Raw genomic sequence first — 23,928 nt, forward strand, 5'->3', positions numbered from 1 at the left:
AAAGCTAAAAACATTTTCTAAAAGAAAATATGGCCGGGTGGCGTGGCTCAAGCCTGTAATCCCAACACTTTGGGAGGTCGAGGTGGGTGGATCACCTGAGGTCAGGAGTTTGAGACCAGCCTGGCCAGCATGATGAAACCCCATCTCTACTAAAAATACAAAAATTAGCTGGGTGTGGTGGCAGTAGCCTGTAATCCCAGCTACTCGGGAGACTTAGGCAAGAGAATTGCTTGAAACCAGGAGGCAGAAGTTGCAGTGAGTTGAGATCATGCCACTGCACTCCAGCCTGGGTGACAGAGCAAGACTCCGTCTCAAAAAAAAAAAAAAAAAAAAAGAAACAAAATATGTTTAATAGTTGTAATCAGAGTCAACTTGCTTTAAAATTTTAAAATCTAATACAGTTCAAATTGAGTATTTTTGCTTATTAAACACAGAAATGCCAATTCATATACAGAATTATTCTTTTAGTTTTACTGTTTGTTTATTTACTTATTTATTTCATTTGAATCAGGGTTTCACTCTGTTGCCCAGGCTGGAGTGCAGTGGCCCGATCGTAGCTCACTGCAACCTTGAACTCCTGGGCTCAGGTGATCCTCCTGCCTCAGCCTCCCGAGTAGCTGGGACTAGAGCCATGCACCACCCTGCCCAGCTAACTTTTTTTTTTTTTTTTTTTTTTTGGCAGAGATGAGGTCTTGCTATGTTACCCAGGCTGGTTTGGAACTCCTGGCCTCAAGCTATCCTTTCGTGTTGACCTCCCAAATTGTGAGGATTATAAGTTTGAGCCACCACACCCAGCCTCAGTTTCACAGTTTAATTATTTCTGAAACTGTGGTTCAAATATTTGAAATTATTATTTTTAAAAGATTGGGTAAGAGTTTAACTTTTGTTTTACAAGGGATATATATGTATATATACATATTTGGTTTGGAGACAGGGTCTCACTCTGTCACCCAGGCTTGAGTAAAGTGGCATGATCACAGCTCACTGCAGCTTTAACCTCCCAGGCTCAGATGACCCTCCTGTCTCAGCCTCCTGAATAACTGGGAACACAGGCATGCGCCACAATGCCTGGTTAATTAAAAATATATATGTATTTGTAGAGACAGGGTCTCACTATGTTGCCCAGGCTGCTCTCAAACTTCTGGGCTCAAGTGATCCTCCAGCCTCAGCCTCCCAAAATGTTGGGATTACAGGGATGAGCTACTGTGCCTGGTCTACAAGGGATATTTTAATAGGTATATTTAAGAAAAAGACTTGGACATTTAGTATGTAAGCATTATCCTTCAATGTAGAGTAGTTATAAAAAATAAAACTAAAATATTTCTATGCAGGAACACCTTGTCAACAGTCATTTCATAACTACTTTTTATTTTCTGCAGCATATATTATTTTGGTGCTAGTAACATTGATGAGATGTGACTGTGATAAGCATGAAGAAAAAACAAATGGGACAATATTAGAAACTGAAAACCAAACGAAAACACTACTACTGGTATTGTATTGAAAACAAATCACATGAAATAAAATAAATTGAATAGCCAAACTTAAGATCTACATGCATAAAAAGAGAAATAAATTAACATTATTTTTATAACAAAAGAAATGAAATCTATAAAATATGCAAATAGCTTTATCTTTTAGGTTCAATAAACACTTATTTATACTTCCTATATGATATGCTTTTCCACATACATTATATTGTGTTTCCTTGATAACATTTTTACTGATTTTAAAAAGTAGACTGGGCACAGTGGCTCGTGCCTGTAATTCCAGCACTTTGGGAGGCTGAGGCAGGAGGATTGCCTGAGGCCAGGAGTTCAAGACCAGCCTGGGAAACATAGTGAGACCCCCATCTCCACAAAAAATTAAAAAATCAGTTAAGTGTAGTGGCGTGCCTCTGTAGTCCTAGCTACTCATGAGGCTGAAGTGGGAGGATCACTTGAGCCCAGGAGGTGGAGGTTGCAGTGATCTGAGATGGTGCCACTGCACTCCAGCCTGGGCAACAGAGCAAGACCCTGTCTTTAAAAAAAGCAATGTATGTGCATGCATGGAGTCAAGATATATATGGGAACTCTCTGTACTTTCTGCTCAATTTTTCGGTGAACCTAAAACTTCTCTAAAAAATAAACTCTATTAAAAAAGGCAATATATACTTATTGTAGAAAATTAAATTTACAAAGGTATAAAGAAGAAACTTAACATAACCCACAATCTTACCACCCAGAGACCACTATTGCCTTTTCTCTTTTAGTTTTTTCTGTGCATATATATTTATAACCATTTAAAAAATAAAATAATAATCATGCTGCAGATGTAAAGTAATTTAAGCATCCTATACCTACAGAAATAGCAAAATGTTAACACCAGAAATTAATGTGCCTTTCAGCAATAAAAAAAAGAATATATTTTGTTAACCGTATGGTCAAATAAAAATTTATTTTCACAATTGGTGGACACGCAAAGCAGTTGAAATAGTCTGAAAAAAAACTTGGACATATATAATTAAAGTGACAAACACATCTCTTTTTTCTCTCTCTCATCAGGATCTAAGCCAAGAAACTAAAAATAAAAACATGAATCAAGAATGATCCCAACAACCATGCTGGAAACTAAATATTTCATTTTTGTTTCACTAAAGATGTGTCATTAGTGTAACTAAGGAAAATTATACTCTAATTGGAAACACAACATGAAAAATTATACTGTATTGAATCCTGCACACAATAAATTGAAAAATGAAACCATGAAAAAATGCACAGAAAAAAGCAAATGCGACATTATACATAAAAATAAGAATATGACACACTGAAAACTATAAAGTATTGATGAAATTGAAGAAGACATAAATAAATAAAAAGATATCCTGTGTTCATAGGTTGGAAGAATTAATATTATTAAAAAGTACAGACTACCCAAAGAAATCTACAGCTTTAATGCAATCCTTGTCAAAATTCAAGTGACAAGGGTCACAGAAATGGAAAAAAAATCCTAAAATTTGTATGGAACCTCAAAATACCCCAAATAGCCAAAGCAATCTTGACCAAAAGCAACAAAGCTGGAAGCATCACACTACTTGATTTCAAAATATACTACAAACTACAGTAATCAAAACAGCATAGTACTGGCATAAAAATAGACATTTAGACAAACGGAACAGAATAGATAGCCCCCAGATAAGTCAACACATTTATAGTCAATTGATCTTTGAAAAAGTGCCAAGAGCACACAATGAGGAAAGGACAGTTTCTTCAATAAAGTGCACTGGAAAACTGGATATCCACATGTCTCCTTTGAAAAAGAATGAAATTACACCGTTTTCTCACACCATATACAAAAATAAAAGAGATTAAAGACTGAAATGTAAGACCTGAAATTTAAAACTACTAGAAGAAAACATAGGGGAAATAACTTCTTGACATCAGTCAGGGCAATGATTTTTGGACTATGACTTCCAAATCATAGGCAACAAAAGCAAAAATAGATGATTGGGATTGCATCAAACTAAAAAACTTCTGCACAGCCAAGGAAACAATCAACAGAGTGAAAAGACAACCTACAGAGTGGAAAAAAAAATTTGCAAGCCATGCATCTGATAAGGGGTTAATATCCAAAATATATAAGGAACTCAAACACTCAATGGTAAGAAAACAAATAACTCAATAAAAAATGAGCAAGGGACCTAATAGACATTTCTGAAAAGAAGACACCAATATGGCCAACAAGTATATAAAAAAATGCTCAACAGGCTTAATCATCAGGGAAATACAAATTAACACTACAATGAGATCACTTCACACGTGTTAGAATGGCTATTATCAGAAATATGAAAGAAAAGTGCTGGCGAGGATCTGAAGAGAAAGGAACCCTTGTCTATTGTTTGTGGGAATGTAAATTGGTACAGCCATTGGGGAAAACAGTGTAGAGTTTCCTTAAAAAATTAAAAATAGAACTACCATATGATCTAGCAATCTCACTTTTGGGTATATATTCAAAAGAAATGAAATCAGTATGTCAAAGAGATATCTGCAATCCCGTGTTCGTCACAGCATTATTCACAATAGCTAAGATGTGAAATTAACCTGTGTCCATTGATGAATGAATGGATAAAGCAAATGTGGTATATATACACAATGGAATACTATTCAGCCTTAAGAAAGAATGAGATCCTGTCATTTGTGATAATGTGGATGAACCTGGAGGACATTATGCTAAATGAAAGAAGCCAGACAGGTACAGAAAGACCAATACTGCATGGTCTCACTTATATGTGAAACCCAAAAAAGTTGAACTCATAGAGGCAGAGAGTAGAATGATGGTGGCCAGGGGCTGGGAGTGAGGGCAGTGGAAATATGTTGGTAAAAAGGAACAAAGTTTCAGTTATGTAGGATGAATAAATTCTGGAAATCTACTGTACAGCATGGTGACTACAGTTACAGTATTGTATACTTGAAAATGCTAAGAGACTAAATCTTAAGTATTCTTACCACCACAAAATAATAAGTGAGTTGATGGGTACGTTAGTTAGCTTGATTTAATCGTTTCACAATATGTATATATATATATATATATTACAACATCATGTTGTATACTGAAAATATATACAATTATTTTATTTGTCAATTATACCTTAATAAAGCTGAGGAATAAGTGAGTATATAACTATGTACCTATCAGAATGGCTAAAATAAGAAATAATGATAACAATGCATGCTGGTGAGGATGAATATTTGGCACTTGTGAAAGGTGGGGGTTTGCTAATGGTGATAGTTCAGGAATTTTCCCTGGAGACTCTTCAAATCAGAGGTAGCAGGCCTTTATACACATGTAATTCTATGATTTTTCCATATGTGGGAAAATTTATATTTGGCTAAATGTGCAGCCAGCTGCTTGGCAACATTTCCCAGGAGAGCTGGGATTGCAGTAAAAAGTGACCATTTCTGGCACTGTTTTTGGAACACCCTAGATTGGCTTCAATGGTTTCAAAGGAACATTTTTGCACAATTTCCTCAAAATTAATTATCCCAATTCATTTTATACCAAAGATAATTTAAGGCAGGAAATGCCCCCTGAAAATCCTTCTATCTAAATTGTATTTTATCCCCAGTTCTTCCTCCACAAAACCGTCTTAGACTCACTTGGCCCACAGTGAGCTCTTCCTGTGAGAATTCCTCCTGTATTTATGATACAAGTTCAGGTGGCCTTTCAGAGGCCATGTAATTTAGCACATTCTTCTGGGTCTATGTTCTTGCTCCGTTTGTCAGCGATTGGCTCTCTCCCCAATCAGGCTGTCTACTCCTTGAGAATAAGGTTGGTGTCAGATAACCTTAGTCATACTCCTCCCCCAGCCCTCTCAGTGGGTTAGCATAGTTTAGAACCAAACGTGTGTTCAAAAACATGCAATTGAGAATGGGCGTGGGGATGACATAAAGTCTGTGTCCCTGTAAAGCGCTTAAAAAATGGCTTCAAGAGCTCCTTGCACAAACACCAATTGCAATTTTCTCCTGGATGCTAAAACCATGTGTACATTATGTTGGGCTCTGTATTTAACCAGCCTGAAGTCTAGACTTATCTTCCCTGGGCCCTCAGCCAGAGATTACAGAGAAAAAGCAGCCTTGGGTGAATGTCTTGTTTGGAAGCGGAAAGACCTTGTTCAAGTGTTGGTGTAGGAACAGCAGCAGACAGGAGCTGAGCTACCTCCCTACCACCCCTCACTGGGGAGTGATCAGTAAAAAAGGAAATTTCTATGCACAGTAGATTGTGAGATTGTGCTCTATTGGCAGCTGCTGAGTAGTAGTGCTGAGATAGAAACCAAGGCAGGTTGGATCCACAAGCTGTGCTCTCAACCACTAGGTTACACTGTCTCTGACGATGGTCCCCTGTTAATGAACATACTTGCTGTTTCTGGTTTTCAAACATTTGCAGTACTCTTCCTTCGTTCATTGAGCAGGGACTCTCTCTCTCTCTTCTTATCTGTCCTATCTATCTTTTATCTGTCTATCTATCTACCTATCTATCTATCTATCTATCTATCTATCTGTCTTTTTTTTTTTGAGATGTAGTCTTGCTCTGTTGCCCAGGCTGGAGTGCAATGGTGCGATCTCTACTCACTGCAAACTCCACCTCCCGAGTTCAAGCAATTCTCCTGCCCCAGCCTCTCGAGTAGCTGGTATCACAGGCGCGCATCACCACACCTGGCTAGTTTTGTATTTTTCAGTAGAGACAGGGTTTTACCATGTTGGCCAGGCTGGTCTCGAACTCCTGACCTCGGGTGATCCACCTGCTTCGGCCTCCCAAAGTTCTGGGATTACAGGCATGAATCACTGCTCCCAGCATTTTTCTTTCTTTTATCTGTCTATCGTGTTCCCTGTTATATCCCCGGTGCCTGACAATGGTTGCTAAGGAAAAGTTGCTGAAAGAAGTCCCTCTTGTATCCCTACAGTGCTCTGTGATTGCCTCTGTCATTTTACTTACCATGCTGTGTTGTATGAGGTGGGGCTGCACTTATTTCAGACATTTCTTTGTTTCATGGAATTTTTTAAATGAACCCTAGTAGGAGGGATGCATCCATACCCCTCAATCATTTTAGTGATATTGTCAATGTCTTTTGGCCAAAGATCACTAGGCACACACATGTTGATCAACCTGGGTTTATTACTTGTTGAAGTGAGGGGGCATGTACACCGTGAAGAACTGTGAGGCATCTCAAGAACAGTATGTTAGAAAAGATTTGTTATAGGATTTGGGCATTGGCTAGATGACTGGGGGAAGGTCAAAAAAAGCTATGGTTTGCCCTATATTGGATGCTGTCAGACAGTAGAACAATTCTGTGATCAAGTATTTCAATAAGTTTTAGCTAGAGGGAGGGTAGAGTAGAGGGAAGCTACAGCTCTAGTTAGTAAAGAGTAGCAGTCATTCATTTTAGCTGGGAGAGGGATGTTTTGTCATTTCTGTGGTTTGGACAGTGTTCACATTTTGTCTGGTTTCAGCCATTACAGAGTTATCTTGCTTCTGCCTTGATCCATCATAGTCACAGAGTTGCCTTGTCTGATATTGGCATTCTGTGGATTTATGTTCAACAGAACAACAAGACCTAGTTTGGTGTTGCTGCTAGTGCTAGGCCAGCTCCTAGCAACAGCAAGGCCTAGCTGATGGTACTAGTCCAACTCCTGGATGGTAGGAGATGCTTTTCTCTTTCTCATATGAGTATTTTACCAGAAGGGCATGTGCAGGGAGCTACCTTAAGTGCATTTCAAATAGGCTCCTGAATACCTCCATCCATCCCACAGGTGTTCTACCTCCAAAGCCCTGTTCTCTGACCCCACTGCATTGCTCTGTTTCCATCTATCCAACCCCTGCTCTATTTCTGGGCCAAGTCCTACCTCTTCTACGAAGACATCTCTGACCACTCCACACCAAAATACTTTCTCACTACTCTGATCTCGGTGCCTTTACTGTTTGATCTGTTTCTTTGACATTTTCTGGTTATATCAAGACTCTCCGGCTCACTACCATATCCTAAGGCCTAACACTACATATGGTCTAGTGAAGCGGTAGCATGTACTGCTATTTAACCTTTAATGCATAGGTTTTGTCCCCCCAGCTGAACTCCAAGCTACTCGAGGGCAGGAATTATATGCTGAGGACCCATATGTTGCTTATGTGCCAGGCTTTGTTCTAAGATTTTACATATATTAGTTCATTTAACACTCACAACAAGCCTATGTGATAAGTGCTCTTATTATCTACATTTTTCGTATTTTAAAAAACCCACTGAAGTTCAGGGAGGCTAAATAACTACCCAAGATCACGCAGGTACTAAGTGGCAGAGCTTGGGTTAAAATCCAGGCAGTTCAGCCCCCGAGTTTGACAAATTCTTTGTTTTATATTCACAGCAGGGACATCTGGAATTAAAACGTACCATCCTCTGGAGAAAGTCATCCTTATTCATTTTTTCCCTGGACCTGAGGTGCCTCTCAAGGAGTTGGAGAAATCAGAATCTCCCTAATAGAGATGAGCTCAAGGGTAAAAAAAAAAAAATGTGATGGATAAGATCTAAGCTTACTACACAGATAAATGACTGCATATTACCCGCATACCAAAGCACTTTTTCCTTTACAAAACCCTTGCCTGCAAATTCCTTCAAAGAGAAAGCACCCTAATGCATTTCAAATAAGCTCTCTGTATGCAACATTTCCCTTTTCAGCCCTCCCGCATCTCTCCCCACCCGCTCCAACTGTCAGTGGAGTGGCTTGAGTGGGAACTGCTATAGGTTTTTAGAACTTATGGTAGTGAATGTGTGTCCTTTTAACTTCCAGAAGACTCTGGAGGTCAGTGGGCTGGTGAGGCAACCTGTTGCCAAACAGTGCCAAATGGTCATTTGAAGCTAAACCAGCCCAGAGGATGAGCTGTGGGCTGTACTGCAAAGGGAGTTGTTTGGTTGTTGGCATGGGGCTTCCTGAACTAGACCTGTCAAAGAGCCCATGGAGCTATCTTGAAATGTTCTTTAGTTACAGTCCTTTACAGTAGCTCCTTCAATTGCCCCATCGATAGCCCTGCCATGAGAAACAAGAACCCCTTCTGCAAGCCATTTGGAATATAGAGGAAGGGGAAATCATTATCTATCTATCTATCTATCTATCTATCTATCTATCTATCTATCTATCTGGCCAAGAGTGGCCTGATTTTTGTTCTCATTTCTTTGAACTGAGGTCCACTCCGTTATAACCTTGCTTTGTTCTTTCCCAGTCCTAGACTGCCATAGATAGTGGGCTTGCAGCTTTGTATGGAGGCATTCATTGGGCACCAGTGCACTGACAGTCTCTGAAGAATTATTAGGTCAGCTGGTTCCAAAGCATTTCAGGCTGATTAAGGCCCTGGAAGAATCTTTTTCCTAGCCCCTTCTGTTACCTCTTCCGTGCCTTCCCCTCCAGTTCACTCAGAGGCTGGTTCATGACCAGTTGCAAAAAGCAGGGTAGTAGCGCATACGAATCTTCTCTCTAAATCCTCTTCAGATGTATTTCACTTATAATACGTGTTCTTGAAAATATGCATTAATAAAATTGTGTTTGCTTGAATAGAGAAGCTACCATCACTGTGTGGATTAGAATGGCATTGGTGTAAAAATCTATGAAGATAATACATGCCAAGTTAGATCAATGCAGTTTGGTAGGTGGTATCTCCTTAGATCCTCACAATGCCACCCTTATCCTCCGGTTACAAGTAAGGAAACTGAGGAAGAGTGATTCCCAGAAAAAGAAGAGGAAGACAAGATAAAGAGGTAAAAGATAAGAGAAGAAAAGTACGGGAAGTTTTGGGCAGAAGGTAAGAGGATATTGGTAGAGCTTTGTGGGGGTGGGTTAGGAGAGGTGAGGGGAAGCTTTTAGGTAAGGACAGATGTCCTTATTGTGAATCTGGAAGGGCACAGAAAAGAAACCAAAACTTAAACATTTCTGGAGGCACTGCCTGGGCCACCCTCCTGGAATGAGAAGATCTGAGGTCAGAGTAGCTAAAAAAAAAAAAAAAAAAAAATCCTTCTATAAATTATGCCTTCTCTTGGAGCGAAGTGCGACCTCTACTCTGAAACAGAGTCATACAGCACCACTCAGTGGCAGTCTCTCGGTAGTGCACCGAGAGTGTCTGCAGCAGCCACCCGGACCCAATGAATCAGAACCTTGAAAGACAGAGGAGAGGCGGTTATGTTATTTTATTTAATCCCCACGAGGTTTTGATGTGATGCCACATTTGAGAATTTCAGGCCAAACTTGTGCTTTCTCTATGATATGAAGACTTTTTAATTTAATCCCCATGAGATTCTGATGTGCTGCCACATTTGAGAATTTCTGGCCACACTTGTGGTTTCTCTATGACATGAAGGCTTTTTCTGATGCCAATCAGTGTGGCAGGAGGCACCTGGGCAAAGCAGAACCTAGACCCTCTCTTTGCTCTTTGCATTCTCTTCTCAGGAGTTTCCTTCTTTCTCATCAACTATCACTTCTCAGTGCATGATTATGTATTAGGTGCTGTGGTGATATAGCATGGCACAAGACAAACAAGATGTCTGTTCTCATGGAGCTTACAGGGAGAAAGACAGCAAATCTATACTTACAGATGGTGATAGGTTCTATGAAGGTAGTAGACAGATATGGCAGTGAGACAGAAAATAACTGAGGTCAGAGAAGGCCTCTTTGAGGAGTTGACATTGAAGCCAAGACTTGAAGGTTGAGAAGAAGCCAGCCATGGGAAGAGTAGAAGCAAGGTCTTGCACACCAAGGAGCACAGCTTGGCAAGAGGACTGCAGGCTAGATTTCGGCCCACCCTACACCTCAGCTGGATACCTTTGTGTAGAGAACAATCTGCACGATCTTACATGAGAGTAGGGGGTAAGGGGATTGTTCCAGCAGATGGAATTTCATGTGTAGGCAAGAACATGTATTCTAGAAATTATGAGAACAGTGCCAGGAAAAGACTAGATCACAAAGGGTCTTATGGGGTAAGATAAGGAGTTTGTATCTTATTTAATTCACAAGAAGCCAGTGAAGGTTTTTAAACAGGATGACTGAAAGATATGAATTATATTCTTTAAAAAACTCTCTAGTTGTGCAGAGAATCCACTGGAAGGGGAAAAACCAGTTAGGAGGCTATTGAGTAGTCAAATCAGAAATGCTAAAGGTTTGCATTAGAATGAGAGTATTAATAGTTGAAGAGATGAGAAGTGGACAGATTTGAGAGACGTTTAGGAGGTAAGCCGACAGATGGAATGGATGTAGAAAAGAATTAAAGAGGGCAACCAGGTTTCCGATGAAAGCATCTTGGTGGGTAGAAGTGCCATTTCCTAAGAGGAAAGAACAAGCAGAGAGGAGGAGCAAATCCAGAATGACATTTTAGCTACTTCAAGTTGGAGAGATCTGTGAGATACTCAAGTGGAGATGCCAAGTCAAATTTGTTATAAACTTGGAAGAGGGGTTTGAGACACAGATATCAATTTGGAAATTATAATCATTGGGTTATCTTCAAGGCCTTGAAACAAAGATTAGATCACTGAGGGAAGGGAGTATAGAAAGGCAAAGTCCCAGAACAGAGCCCAGAGAAACTCTAGTTTGGGGGAATGAGGTAAAGAGTGGCCAAAGAGGAGAAAACTCAGAAAACTGTAATGCCACAGAAATCCTGAAAGGGGCTGTTTAAGGAAGAGTAATGTGGGTAGCTGCTGCTGAAGGATCAAGAAAACTGAGAATAGAAAGAGACTGATGGCTTTGACCACATGGTGGTCATTGCAGACCATAGTCGGAGCAAGGGCACCAAACTGGAAAAATAAGAAGTGGTGGTCAGAGTGTGGAATTCTTAAGATTTTTTAATCTTGAGATTTTGGGAGTGATGTATATTTTCATTAAGAAAGGTCTAGGATCCTTGGCATGGTCCTGAGAGTAAGTGGATGAGGTAGGGTAGATGGCAAATTATTGGAAATGTAGAAGCTGAGAAACAGAAACGTTTGTGTGTTCAATGGCAAAATTGTCAAAGATTTAGGGTGGAGGGAAAGTGTAGTGAAACTGTGGTTGCCAAGCAGTCTTGAGCGTGCTCATGACCACAAATTTTTAGTGAATTTAGTCAACCAACTTTCAATATTTTTATCTGCTTCATTTAGTGGCAAGGAAAAAGTAATATAGTGCAATTCAACTAGAGTTTGGGGTTTTGCCTAGTAGATATGATAGACAGCTAAGAGGAGAAAGGGAATGGAGTGAGTGAGTAGGTATCAGTTTCCTATTGCTGCTGTAACAAATCACCACAAACTTTGTGGCTTAAAATACAGACTTAAAATATTAGAGTTGCAGAGGTCAGAAGTGTCATTGAGCTGAAATCAAGGTGTGGGCAGAGCTGTATTCCTTCTGGAGACTCTAGAGGAGAATCTGTTTCTTTGACTTTTCCAGCTTCTACAGCCTGCCCACTTTCACTGGCTTATAGTTTCCTTCCTCCATCTTTAAAGCCAGCAACATCAGGCCAAGTCTTTCTCATGCTGCCATCTCTTTGGTTCTCTCTTCTAATTCCCTCTCCCACTTTTAAGGATGCTTGTGACTGCATTGGGCCTATCTGACTAATCCAGAATAATCTCCCTATCCTAAAGTCAACTGATTAGCAACACTAACTCCATCTGCAACCTTAATTCCCCTCTGCCAGGTAACCTAACAGACCCACAGGGTTCTGGGGATTAGGACATGGGCATCTTTGGGGAGGCCAGCATTCTGCCTGTGATAATAGCAACACATAATGGATGGAATTTAAACTGGGTAAGTAGGCAAATGAAGAAGATGGTAGGAAGGTAGAGTGAAAAAGTGGCTAGGTCAGCAGATTGGGGAAATAATCTGATGGGATTGAAACATTGTAGCAGTAGAGAAGAAATTTTCTAAATGGTGCCATTTCTGGTAATGGAAAAGGCTAGTGTAGGACCATGGGGGTAAGTATCTGATGTAAGTTTGTAGAAAAGATCAGATGAGGAGGTCACGGAAGTGGAATTCCAGGTCATGGGATAAGTCATCCCTGTGGATGTTAAAGTCACGAAGAATGATGAACAAACTTCAGTGTAGGAAAGAAGACTGATGATGCAAGAAAGGCATAAACCCCACAAGCTAGATAAGCCTGTAAGTGAAAAGGAGCCTGTGGTGGTGCAGACTTGCCCAGAATCAGAAGGATGGAGCCCTGACATGCAACTCCACTCCCAGGGGCTGAGCTCAAAGTTACAGAGTCTGTGCAATGACCCCCTTGGGATGTGGAAGTCAAAGTCAAATCCCAAGAGAGACCAGCATTCCAGACTGTCCCTCGCCCCTCCCGTGGCTTCCATGAGAAGCAGGAAGTGCTGGGCTTGAGGACCGTGGGCTCTACCTGGCCTGGAAGGAGATGGCACTCCTGTGCCAGAGTAGGCACAAAGTAGGCACCCGCAGCCTACTCTGGCTGTGACACAGTAGACTAGGAGGCAAGCAAGGGACCAAGTCACTCCCTGTATGTCAAGGGTGGGGGAAGGGTCTCCCATGAGGGGTGAGATCCCTCATTGTCCCCAGCCTCACAGCAGAATCACACTAGGTTGCAAGAGCAGAAATCTCACAAGAGGCCAGGGAGACGATCCCAAGAGAGAAAGGAAGAGGGGATAGCAAGGCCCTTTGCAGACAGTCAAGCCCTAGGCAGATAGAAGAGAAAAACACCATTCATGGTGATAGTGATTCCAAAGCCGTTTGATTCATTTAGCAAACATTTATCAAACACCGACCTGGTGCAGAGCCCTGTGGCAGGCACCGTGGGTGTTAACAAACTTGAGACAGGCCTGGACATTCACCCTAAAGGGCCTGTGCTTTCTTGGAGGAGCTAAACCATGTCCACACATACCACTGTCATTAAGGATAGTGTCTGGTGAGGGTGGTGGGGTACAGATATAGAAAAGTAGGCTGCCTGGAGGCGGTGAGTTTTGAGCCAGGCTGTAAAGGAGATCTTTGGGCTGGTCTTCCAGGGGTGTTCCCTGTCATCCCAACATTAAGTGGAAACCTCTGAGGGTTGTTGTGGCTTTAGGTCTCTCCCACTGGCCCACCTTGACCTTGATGGTGGGTCTGCAAATGGAAAGGACTTGGCCACTTCTGTTGACTGACAGAGGGAGGTGGGGTGGGGAAAGAGAGCACCTTTCCCTAAGAAAATCTGAAATCCTGGGTTGTGCCAACTACCTGGCTTGGCAAAGATCAGATGTCATGGGTGGGATAGCTGGAGATAAAGGAAAGGTAGCAACTACACACCAGAGATAAGGGAATGTGACATCCTGGATGGGTCTACATCTGCAGACAACAGGCTCAGGCAGATAACCAAGGCTATGGAGATTGTTCCACGGACTTCTGGCTCACATACTTGCCATGAAGAGAGCCCCAATGCGGGAGCTAGGAGGACACTCTCCCTCAGTTTCACTTCAGGTAGTTTCACTTCACTTATTGAAAGCACATCTGCTCAGCTTTTTCCTTTCTCTTCTGTTTGCTGGTGCTAACTAGTTTCCCCTCCCAGGGACTTGAAAACAACTGGTAAGATAGCTTACTGCCACTGCAACAGAACCATCTCCTCCAGGATCTGCCTCACTCCTTGACAACAACTTGCTCCATAACAAGCCCAGTGCCCAGTTCTATCTCCCTGCAGAAAGAAGCAGCTACTGCTGTGTACTTTTTGCCCTAGAGACTACAAGATTGACAGCAGTCATCACATTGTGTTTCACACTCACTGATAAGTGGACAAGGCAACTAAAGAGGAAATGATTTAGTATAAACTGGAGTCTCTGCAAATATAGGAACGTTGACACTCTATGCAGCTGGGAAAGCTCAGCTTCCAGAGGTCTTAGCTAACCTCCACCCCAAAGAGGGGCACAGGAACGATGGGGGAAGAGGCACTAGGATGTAAACCATGAGCAGTCTGTCATCTTTGGATTTCATCAGTCAAACAAGCAAGAGGTACAAATGACAGTTGTAAGGAGGCATGGCATTGGTACATGTAACGCACTCAATAAATTTGGTAAATGAATAAATAAATGGTTTAATGAATAAGGTTGATCATTTTAGGTAGGAGGTGAAGAAGATCAGAGGGCACTGACCAGGCAAATACAGAAAATAATGGTGGTACAGGCTGGGCGCAGTGGCTCACGCCTGTAATCCCAGCACTTTGGGAGGCCGAGGCGGGCGGATCACGAGGTCAGGAGATTGAGACCAACCTGGCTAACACAGTGAAACCCCATCTCTACTAAAAATACAAAAAAATTAGCCGGGCATGGTGGCGGGCGCCTGTAGTCCCAGCTACTCAAGAGGCTGAGGCAGGAGAATGGTGTGAACCCGGGAGGTGGAGCTTGCAATGAGCCGAGATCATGCCACTGCACTCCAGCCTGGGCGACAAAGTGAGACTCTGTCTCAAAAAAAACAAAATGGTGGTACAAAGAGGAGTATGTGTCCTATGGAAGGCAGGAAACCTACTTAGTGATAGTAATTACATAATAGTCTTGATATTGCTTCTGGACCTTGCAGAACCTAAAATGTTTCGTCTCTGCCCTTTACAGAAGAAGTTTCCCCAATCCAGGGTGCCTCCACATTGGATCACTATAGTGCTGCTAATAATCGTAAAATTAAAAGGACAGGACTTGTGTGGACCTAAAGGCTAGCCCTGGACACTAAGGCCTCAAAGAAAAGATAGAGTTCTGGATTCTGAGTTGTCCTAGAGCTTAAGGGCCTTGATATTCATTGGATGCAGAGCATGTCAATCTGATGTTTTCAGCAAATGAGCTTAGAGCTCACTGAGAGCCCCTCCTTGACCCTTCCTGTCCCGCCCCCTGTCACTTACCAACCCGAATCTTTCCCGCCTTGTCTAAGTCCTCTCAGGCCAACCTCAGCGGGAGGCTCCTGGGATCGGCTCCCTGCCCTTCCCACCTTAGGGTGTCCTCAGAGACAGACTTTTATTCCCTCAGTAAGGAGACAGACTCTTATTCTCTCAGCAGCCCAGCCCCTCACCTCCCCTCAGCCACAGCCACATCAGTGGCCACCGTCTTCACCGTTGTCACCTCAGCCTAGTCGCCACTCCAGTTGAGGCACTGACTGGCGTCATGTCTGCCACAGGGGATCAAGACCTGATCCAAGAGGACCAGGAGGCTCCAGTGAACCAGGAGGGAGCGCAGGCCGAGGCCGTAGGTGACCGGGAGGGCGGTGACTCTGGCCCCGACAGTGGCAACACTGTGGCCGGAGTCGCAGGGCCCATGAGAGGCCTCGGGGAGGAGGAGGGTGAGCAGGCGGCAGGCTTGGCCGCAGCCCCCGGGGGTGGGAACGCCGAGGAAGACTCAGAGATCAGGATAGTAGTGGAGATGGTGGAGGAGGAGGAGGATGAGGAGGAGGAAGAGGAGGAGGAGGAGGAAGAGAGGAACGAGGCGGACAACTTCGACTTGGTCGCGGCCGCCCGTCGCTACCCCATAAGAGGCTTTCGCATGGAGTTTCTGGACATGGTCCACTCCCTTCTCCTCCGCATCTATCACAACGACCACATCCTGATCAGGATGCGTGGCGGCCGCCTGATGCGGAGGCGCCGCACTGCGGCGCCCAGTGGCTCAGAAGAGCCCCGGCTGTTGCTGGTGCATGAGAGGCTGGGCGTGGGGGCCGCGGGTCCTGAGGGCGAGGGCCTGGGCCTGCTCCAGGAGGCCGCGTTGGTCCCAGAGCCTGAGGTGCCAGCAGACCTGGCCGAGATGGCCAGGGAGCCTGCAGAAGAGCCCGCAGAGGAGGCCTCAGAGAAGCCCACAGAGGAGGCCGCAGAAGAGCCCGCAGAGGAGGCCTCAGAGAAGCCCACAGAGGAGGCCGCAGAGGAGGAGCTCGCAGAGGAGGCCGCAGAGGAACCGGCCAAAGAGGAACCGGCTGCAGAGGAGGAGTCCGCAGAGGAACCGGCCACAGAGGAGGCTGCTGCCCCTGAGGGTGAGGAACAGGCTATCTGCAGTGGCGGGGAGACAGGGACCCGTGCACCCAAGGGTTCCAGGCAGGGCCGCGGTGTGCGCACAGCTGGTGAAGCAGGTGGTGAAGTGGGGGTCGGGCCTCGGGTGGTGAAGTGGGGGTCAGGGCCCTCCTGAAACTTAAGGCCAAATGTGTACCAATGAGTCGAAGCCCAATTCTCTAACGACATCTATGATTTTTGAGAAAACATGCCGCCCTCTACCAACCTGTGTTTGATAGAAGATCTGAGATCATCAATGCCATTTGGGGGGCCCACAGATGAATGGCCAGGTAGATAGGGGTTCAGGAGGGAGCTCGGCAGGAAACAAGGGACAACGGAAAGAAAAGAACAGGCAAATGGCAGGCATCCTTTTTTGTTCATGGCTTTTCAAAGTGTAAAGATTCTTAGAAAGTTGATCCCCAAATGATGAAGTGATACAGGGGCCCTTGGTAAAAATGAAACATTCAGGGGGGTGAGGAACCAATGAGCTTCACCATAGAATTTGTCTTTTGAGGCAACAAATATTTTCCCAGCAAAGTTCTGATCAAAACACTTAGAATGAGATCAGACACCATGATTCTGATCTCTTCTCCAAAGAACTAGAAATAATCGGCAGCTTTGGGTGGGAGATTTACTGGAAAAAAGGGAAATAGTGTCACTGTGGAAATGATCAAGCAGCAGCAACGTGAGGGCCATGGCACTGTTGTGAAAACCAGTAGGAAGGTGCCCAGCTATTCCTTTCTTAGTTAAGTCTATCCTCCTGCTTCTCCTGAGGGTGGAGTACTGGGTGCCGCTGCTGGTTATAAATTGGGCTATATTTTCTGTGAATGTCTGGTCCCAACATCTGTATTATTCTTCGCTAAAGAAGTCACTAAATATCAGCATGAAAAGTGGGATGAAGAGGCCCAAGATGCTGCAGGCAAGGAAGAGAAAGAAGAGAAAGAGAAGGATGCTGAAAACAAGGTGAAGAACTCCAAAGGGACCTAGACGCAGCAGAGGGGAAGCTGAGAAAATCCAGGTATCGGTGTATAGCTTTGAGAATCACTCAACTATTCCTGGCATTTACCTGTTGCTGACAGTTTTATTTTAAAATAAAATTCCCAGTAAATTAATTAAGAAAAGGTTTTAGTTTAAAAATTCAATTTAGCTTACTTAAAATGTTACTAGAATATTCATGTACGTAGTAATATGAACTGCAGTGTGTTCTGAAATACACTTCATGGCTACTCATTTGTTCATGTTGAGGTCTTTTGTCCTCTAGCTGCAGGACTACTAACAAGTGGCAAATGTATCAGACCTACTACCTAAGATCAATATTTGTGTAGAAAACAGTTGCCAGACGCAGCATCTAACTTGCTTGGGCCACACATTGGTTGGGACTTCATTACTTAGCCACAGAAATGCAGGCTCCCATAGTAACTAGGAGACAACTCAATGCCTTTTACAAAGTGACTACTAACAAATAGCAAAAAGCTAAGAATTTCAAGTAGGACCACATTTAATGACTAATACCTAAATATTTGTTTAGCTATATATCTTTGTATTTTATGTGACAAATGAAAAGAATGTGTGTAATTAAGTCTTAAGGCATATCTGTCTTTGAGTATATTTAAATGGTTAACATTTTTTCTTTTTTCTTTTTTTTTTTTTTTGCATTTTCACAGCTGTATTATTTCATAACAGCTTCTTTCCCATATGGTAGATATGGAAACCAAGGGTCTGGGAGAGTAAGGGAGTATCATTTGTGGAACTAGCACAGGCTGTTAAAGCTTGAGAGATTTATTTAAATCCCAGAATTGCCTCTCATGTAAAAACAACAACAAGAAGCTTTTCTGGTGCTAGGGAGACAAGGTTGGTGTGATCATTTGGCTGTAACCATCAGTTTCACAAGCACCCTGATATCCAAGCTTGCGAGTTACAAAAGGAAAAGGTGTTCTTCTCTACTTGTTTAAGATATAGCACACAAATGTTGCAGATATACACAGAGCTGGCCATTTTCTTCTATTTAGAAAGTCACTGGTGCTGGCTAACGTACCATTGTTTATTTTTTTCTCATTTCATTCTGTAGTTGGGAAGAATAGAAAGAAGATGAAGAAAGAAGACTCTGTTGTTCATTGTTTTTATTTTATTTTATTCAGATGCCTGTGAGAATTTTAACACATATCATTCCAAAGTTCATTACCTTAAAAGTGATATCTAGTGACATCTAACTTTTATCTTTCACAAATGTATTTGACAGTGTTTGTTCAAGTTAGAAATAAAAGTTTGTTTTAAATGAATAAATTGAAACATGGGGAGATTTTTCAATAAATAATTCTGACTCAAATCTCTCTTTTACCTCTTTGTTTTGGCCCACCATACCTTCATTGAAAGGTATTACTTTCCACCATTTAGTAAGACTGTTTTAAATTCTTTTACTGCAGCCAAAAGTCAATTAAAATGTCAAGTTTAAAACCATTTTTGCAAAGAGAGAGATGGGGCTCAAGTCTTTAGAGCTGTACTGTCTACTACCTTAGTCACTAGTAACGTTGTGGCTGCTGAGCACTTGTAATATGGCTAGTCTGTTTGATATGTGCTGTAAGTGTGAAAATAATATTGCATATCTTACTAATGATTTTCATACTGATTACATGTTGAGATGATAATACTTGAATTAAAATGAAATGTTAAAGTTTTTGTTGGTTTCTTTTTATTTTCAAATGTGGCTACTAGAACATTTAGAATTACCCATGTAGATCACATTACATGTCTATTGGACAATACTGCTCTAGAGCATGGTTTTGAAGAAAACTTCATGGATGGCCCAGGTTGCCTGGAAGCCACATGGTATTGCTGAGCTTGGGCCCAGACTTTGATTTGGAGCAGTGGTTCTCAAAGTTTGGTCCCCAAACAGCATCATCAGCATTACCTGGGAATTCTCAGACTCCACCCAAGACCTACGGAATCCGAAAATCTGGGGTGGGGTCAGCAATCTGTGTTTTAACAGGCCCCCCAGGGGCTTCTGATGAACACTAAGGTTTGAGAACCAGTGGTTTCAAGCAACAGAGGAAGAAGCCGAGCACCTCCTGTCGAGCCAGGGTTAATTCACTGGCTCGGGGCTGTTTCAGGTAAACTGAAAGGGACAGCAAGGGATGGGCTGGGGAGGAGACTAGAATTCACAGGGGCTGAGGCCTAGAGAGGAAAAATGCATAAAGGAAAAAGTCGGGTCCAAAAGGATACAAACATGATACCATGCATATGACTTCTAAGAAAACATACAAATGATCACCATAAATTGATTATGGGTACATATAGAGAGACTAAAAGATGTGCTTGTAAGAGATGCATACAAGTGTAGCATACAGAAAGGTGTGCATTCGAAAGAAGCACATTTGAGATGGTGGTTACCTCTCAGGGAAAGAAAGGGAGGGGCATTCTAGCAGAGAAGGCTCCACAGCAGGCATCAACTATATTTGTAATGTTACATTTCTTAAGCTGAATAGTAGATATATTGATGTTTATAGTAACATTTTCTACAATTTTGTGTAGGTCTGAAATATTTCTAAAGCAGGAGGAGGAAGGGGAGCAGTTCTTCCCACACCACTGGGGCAGGACTTACAGGAGTCTGAGAATTCTAGAACCCAACCTGGCCTTTGAGGTCATTATGAAGGTACATTTGTCATGGAAGGAGATAAACCATTAAATAAAACATGCTGTATTCGTTTATTTAAACATTTCAAATATTTAGACATATGGTATGTGGATCCCAAGTTGAACTCTTGTTCTAAACCCTGAAAATGTTACAGGTGAGCCAGGCTCATTATCTGGCCTATAACCCCTTTCCCTTCCTCCCTCCATGCCACTTTGTTACCTGAGCACAGTAGGGCCCCTTGCTTCTGAAAAGCGCTTGTTGCAGTAGCCCATCTTGCTATCGGACTTGGACTTTGTCCCTGACCCAGGCTACAGTGCAACCACCAATCACCTTGTCTCTTCTGCTCGTCCCCCAACCACACCCCCTCTTTATTCTCCAGGTGTCCAAACGTAAAACCTCTTCAGTGGCCCTTCTCCCCCATACCAAATATCAATGCTCACCTGAAAGCCATCAGCTTGGTCAGGCACACCTGCGTGGACGCCCCTTATTCTCAGCACCACCTTTTAAGAACATTTTACTTTGGCCGGGCGCAGTGGCTCACGCCTGTAATCCCAGCACTTTGGGAGGCCGTTAGACGAGCAGATCACAAGGTCAGGAGATTGAGACCATCCTGGCTAACACGGTGAAACCCCATCTCTACTAAAACTACAAAAAAAATTAACCGGGCTTGGTGGCGGGCGCCTGTAGTCCCAGCTACTCGGGAGGCTGAGGCAGGAGAAAGGCGTGAACCTGCGAGTTGGAGCTTGCAGTAAGCCGAGATCGCGCCACTGCACTCCAGCCTGGGCGACAGAGTGAGACTCCGTCTCAAAAAAAAAGAACGTTTTACTTCTCTGACAACCTTCAGCTCTGAGTTGTCAATATCCTATTTGATTTCCCGCCCCATGTCACAGACAGAGATGGACTACAGAATAGGCTTTATTGAATTTATTTGCTTTGCATATATCTTAAATCAAAAAAGTTAAAGAAGTAGAAAAGTTGTCAGAATATGCCTTTAGGCATTTAAAAAGAACTTAATCTCTTCATTTAAAAACAGAACTTTGTTGTTAACTGTGGAAAAGAAATTGTTATTGGAGAGTTCTCAGAGTGAGAATAGCTGAATACAGGTTCACTGTGAAAAAAAGGAAGGGAGGTGTAACAGCTGTGTTGTTAACTGTGGAAAAGAAATTGTTATTGGAGAGTTCTCAGAGTGACAATAACTGAATACAGGTTCACTGTAAAAAAGGGAAGGGAGGTGTAACAGCTAATCTACCAGGAGTACCCAGATAAAGGGCATCTACCTTAATATATTGTTCACTATGGGAATACAAAGGAAATAAAATTCACTCAATCAAAATAGCATTATCAAAATGGCAAAGGCACAGTATCAGGAAAAATAGATGTTATATAGAGAAAATGCAAAATTTAGCATGTAATTGTACTGTGTCACATTATACCAGCATCAACAAAACCCAGCACCAAGTGTTTAGCTCTGACACCTCACTACCTCTCTGGATTTTTTTGCATGGGGCAGCACCCCACTCAGAATATAAAGGCACAGTCAGATGTCCAGGCCTGCATTTCTGTTTAAGCAAAGCAGCACAGTGTAACAGAGGCAGACACAGTGATAACTACTCAGAAGTCACTTCTGGGTCTCCTAGAAAAATGAGCTAGGTTTACTGCCCAGACATCCAAAGGGAGCTCTCCCTTAGTGTTTGGTGGGTTTGGGGGATGGAATGAAGAGAAAGACAGAGAAAGGAAGATTTAACTAACTTCTAGTGAACCTAGATGAGATTCTAGGGTGGTCTGCATCTCAGAAAGCCAGCCAATTAAGGAACTGGCTCTGGGGGTAAAGGTGCCTACATCTTCATCCTCAGCCGAGGAGTTATTAATGGAGGCTGTGCTACAAAAGAAAAAGACCGTGTGGCAAGATGGGAAGGGAGGCATCAACATTTGCTGGGCCACTTGCCCCCTCCCCTCACAGCTGACCATCCCTCTCATCCTCTTTCTCACTCTCCCTTTTTGGTCTTCCCTCTTCTCCGTGGCTGGGGGATGAGTGGGTCACTGGAAGGTAGGGTCTCTCCAGCCTAGTAACTTTTGAGGTGTGTGCCTCTAGGAATGAGAGGGGAAAAGCTGATTTACTCACTTAAAGCTTCCAGGTAGCGGAAAGTTCATTTCTCTGTGGCTTTGGGATTGCACTCTTGCTTTGGGCTAAAACCTTGTGAAGCAAAGACAGCTGAGGGGAAAGGACAAGAAGCTACATGGAGTTCTCCACCTTAATGCTGGAACCAGAGAGGAAGGAGCTCCAGTGGCTCCAGATGTGCATCAAGGCAGTAAGCTTGCCATCTGCCTGATGGAAAGTACAGCTTTTGGCATCTGTAGAACTCTAATTTCAATAGGGTCTTCAGTGCTTAACAGGATATATGTGATAGGCAGTGATTTCTGTGCGATCAGAGAGGGTCACAGTAGTATTGGGACAAGAAGCAAAACATTGATGGACTAACCCTCCAGAGGAGTAAGATAATTCCCAAGAAGCATTCTGCGTCATAGGGAGGTGCTCGCTACAGCCAGGCCTGTGACAGGTCGACGTGGGGTATGTCCAAAGAGGGAGCTTTGTGTAAGTGCTCTGCATGTTACTATCACCCAAGGAGAAAGCATCAGGGGCCCCCAGGGACACAGGGAAGATGTTTCAAGGGGTGATAGGCTGATTGGAGAACTGGCTGTGCAGAAATTTTCTTGGAGACCCAGAATTTTCACTTCCACCGCCTCTTTTAGGATCCCTTGCAAAGCTTAGAGCAACAACCAAATAATTGCGGCATCTATCTAGGCTCATAAAACCTAAAGGCCAATCTTTAGGTCAAATCATCTGAATGTTTCCATTAGAATTACTTTATTTGGTTGAGGGAAATGACAATTTTCTAGTTGCTCCAACAAAATGTTTTTGCTTTCTCCCTTCTAAAGCACATTGTCCAAAGTTAAAGATTTTGCAATTTTACAGCAGTGCAAATGTTTTCGATAGTTTTAATAGAGGAAATGCTGGGTTTCTGGGTGCTGGCAGTGACTACGTGGAAGGTTAAGCATTCATGGCATTTATTTCATTCAAATAATTATGTTTTAATTTGCATTTCTAAGGCTATTTTGCTTAATAAATTCTTATTTTGCTTAATAAATTCTTAGTTTGCTTAATACTTATTTTGCTTAATACAAGTGGTCACAGTAAAAAGATCACTACATAGAATTAATACAGCTATTAGCAATTATCATTTAAAACGCTGATGCTTGGCCGGGCGCGGTGGCTCACGCCTGTAATCCCAGCTTTTGGGAGGCTGAGGCGGGCGGATCACGAGGTCAGGAGATCAAGACCATCCTGGCCAACATGGTGAAACCCCGTCTCTACTAAAAATACGAAAACAAAATTAGCCGGGCGTGATGGCGGGCGCCTGTAGTCCCAGCTAGTCGGGAGACTGAGGCGGGAGAGTGGCGTGAACCCGGGAGGCGGAGCTTGCAGTGAGCGGAGATCGCGCCACTGCACTCCAATCTGGGTAACAGAGCGAGACTCTGTCTCAAAAAAAAAAAAAAAAAAAAAAACTAAATAAAATAAATGCTGATGCTCCACACAAGAGCTCTTTATTGCGTGATTTCTGCCATGTGGCTCCATGCTTTGGCTTTCTTCCTGGCCAGTGAGAACCAGACAGGCTCAATTGGCTCAACTGGGTTCTGGAACTTGGCTGGGAGAGTTGAAGATCGTTTGGTTTCTTTTTCCATGGCAGGAACTTGCAGTATCTTCTGAGCTTCAAATCCAACTGGAACCACAGCAAATAACACACAAGCAATAAGGAACCCCAGCGATATTG

At 42.9% G+C, this 23,928-nt stretch overlaps 2 protein-coding genes across 6 annotated transcripts in view; one reads left to right on the top strand and one right to left on the bottom strand.

The window, feature by feature from the left end:
• Window positions 1–15,365: 15,365 nt before the first annotated feature.
• On the top strand, window positions 15,366–19,141 carry CT47C1 (cancer/testis antigen family 47 member C1). 2 transcript variants are annotated; one of them, XM_047442414.1, is made up of 3 exons: window positions 15,366–16,451; window positions 17,333–17,485; window positions 18,536–19,141. In XM_047442414.1, the coding sequence occupies exons 1-2, from the start codon at window positions 15,599–15,601 to the stop codon at window positions 17,452–17,454; spliced, it is 975 nt and encodes a 324-aa protein (XP_047298370.1). In that variant the 5' UTR covers window positions 15,366–15,598; the 3' UTR covers window positions 17,455–17,485; window positions 18,536–19,141. The 2 variants fall into 2 exon arrangements, with proteins under 2 accessions (XP_047298370.1, NP_001383061.1); NM_001396132.1 differs by having other exon boundaries at window positions 18,606–19,138.
• A 1,866-nt stretch (window positions 19,142–21,007) lies between these two features.
• KIAA1210 overlaps window positions 21,008–23,928 on the bottom strand; it is a 72,496-nt gene continuing 69,575 nt past the window's right edge. For all 4 annotated transcript variants that reach the window (XM_017029689.3, XM_017029688.3, NM_020721.1 and 1 more), the window contains one exon: window positions 21,008–23,877. In XM_017029689.3, coding sequence (XP_016885178.1) covers window positions 23,702–23,877 — 176 coding nt within the window. In that variant the 3' untranslated portion in view covers window positions 21,008–23,701. The remainder of the gene's footprint in view (window positions 23,878–23,928) is intronic.

Source organism: Homo sapiens, chromosome X (genome assembly GCF_000001405.40).
Source record: "Homo sapiens chromosome X, GRCh38.p14 Primary Assembly".
Taxonomy (NCBI): domain Eukaryota; kingdom Metazoa; phylum Chordata; class Mammalia; order Primates; family Hominidae; genus Homo; species Homo sapiens.

What these genes read in the sequence shown, in the direction of transcription:
- CT47C1 (XM_047442414.1), top strand. Translation starts at nt 15,599, where the DNA reads ATGTCTGCCACAGGGGATCAAGACCTGATCCAAGAGGACCAGGAGGCT. An exon ending in GGAGGCTGCTGCCCCTGAGG is followed by an intron (nt 16,452 to 17,332) that starts GTGAGGAACAGG and finishes TCTTCGCTAAAG; the next exon opens with AAGTCACTAAATATCAGCAT.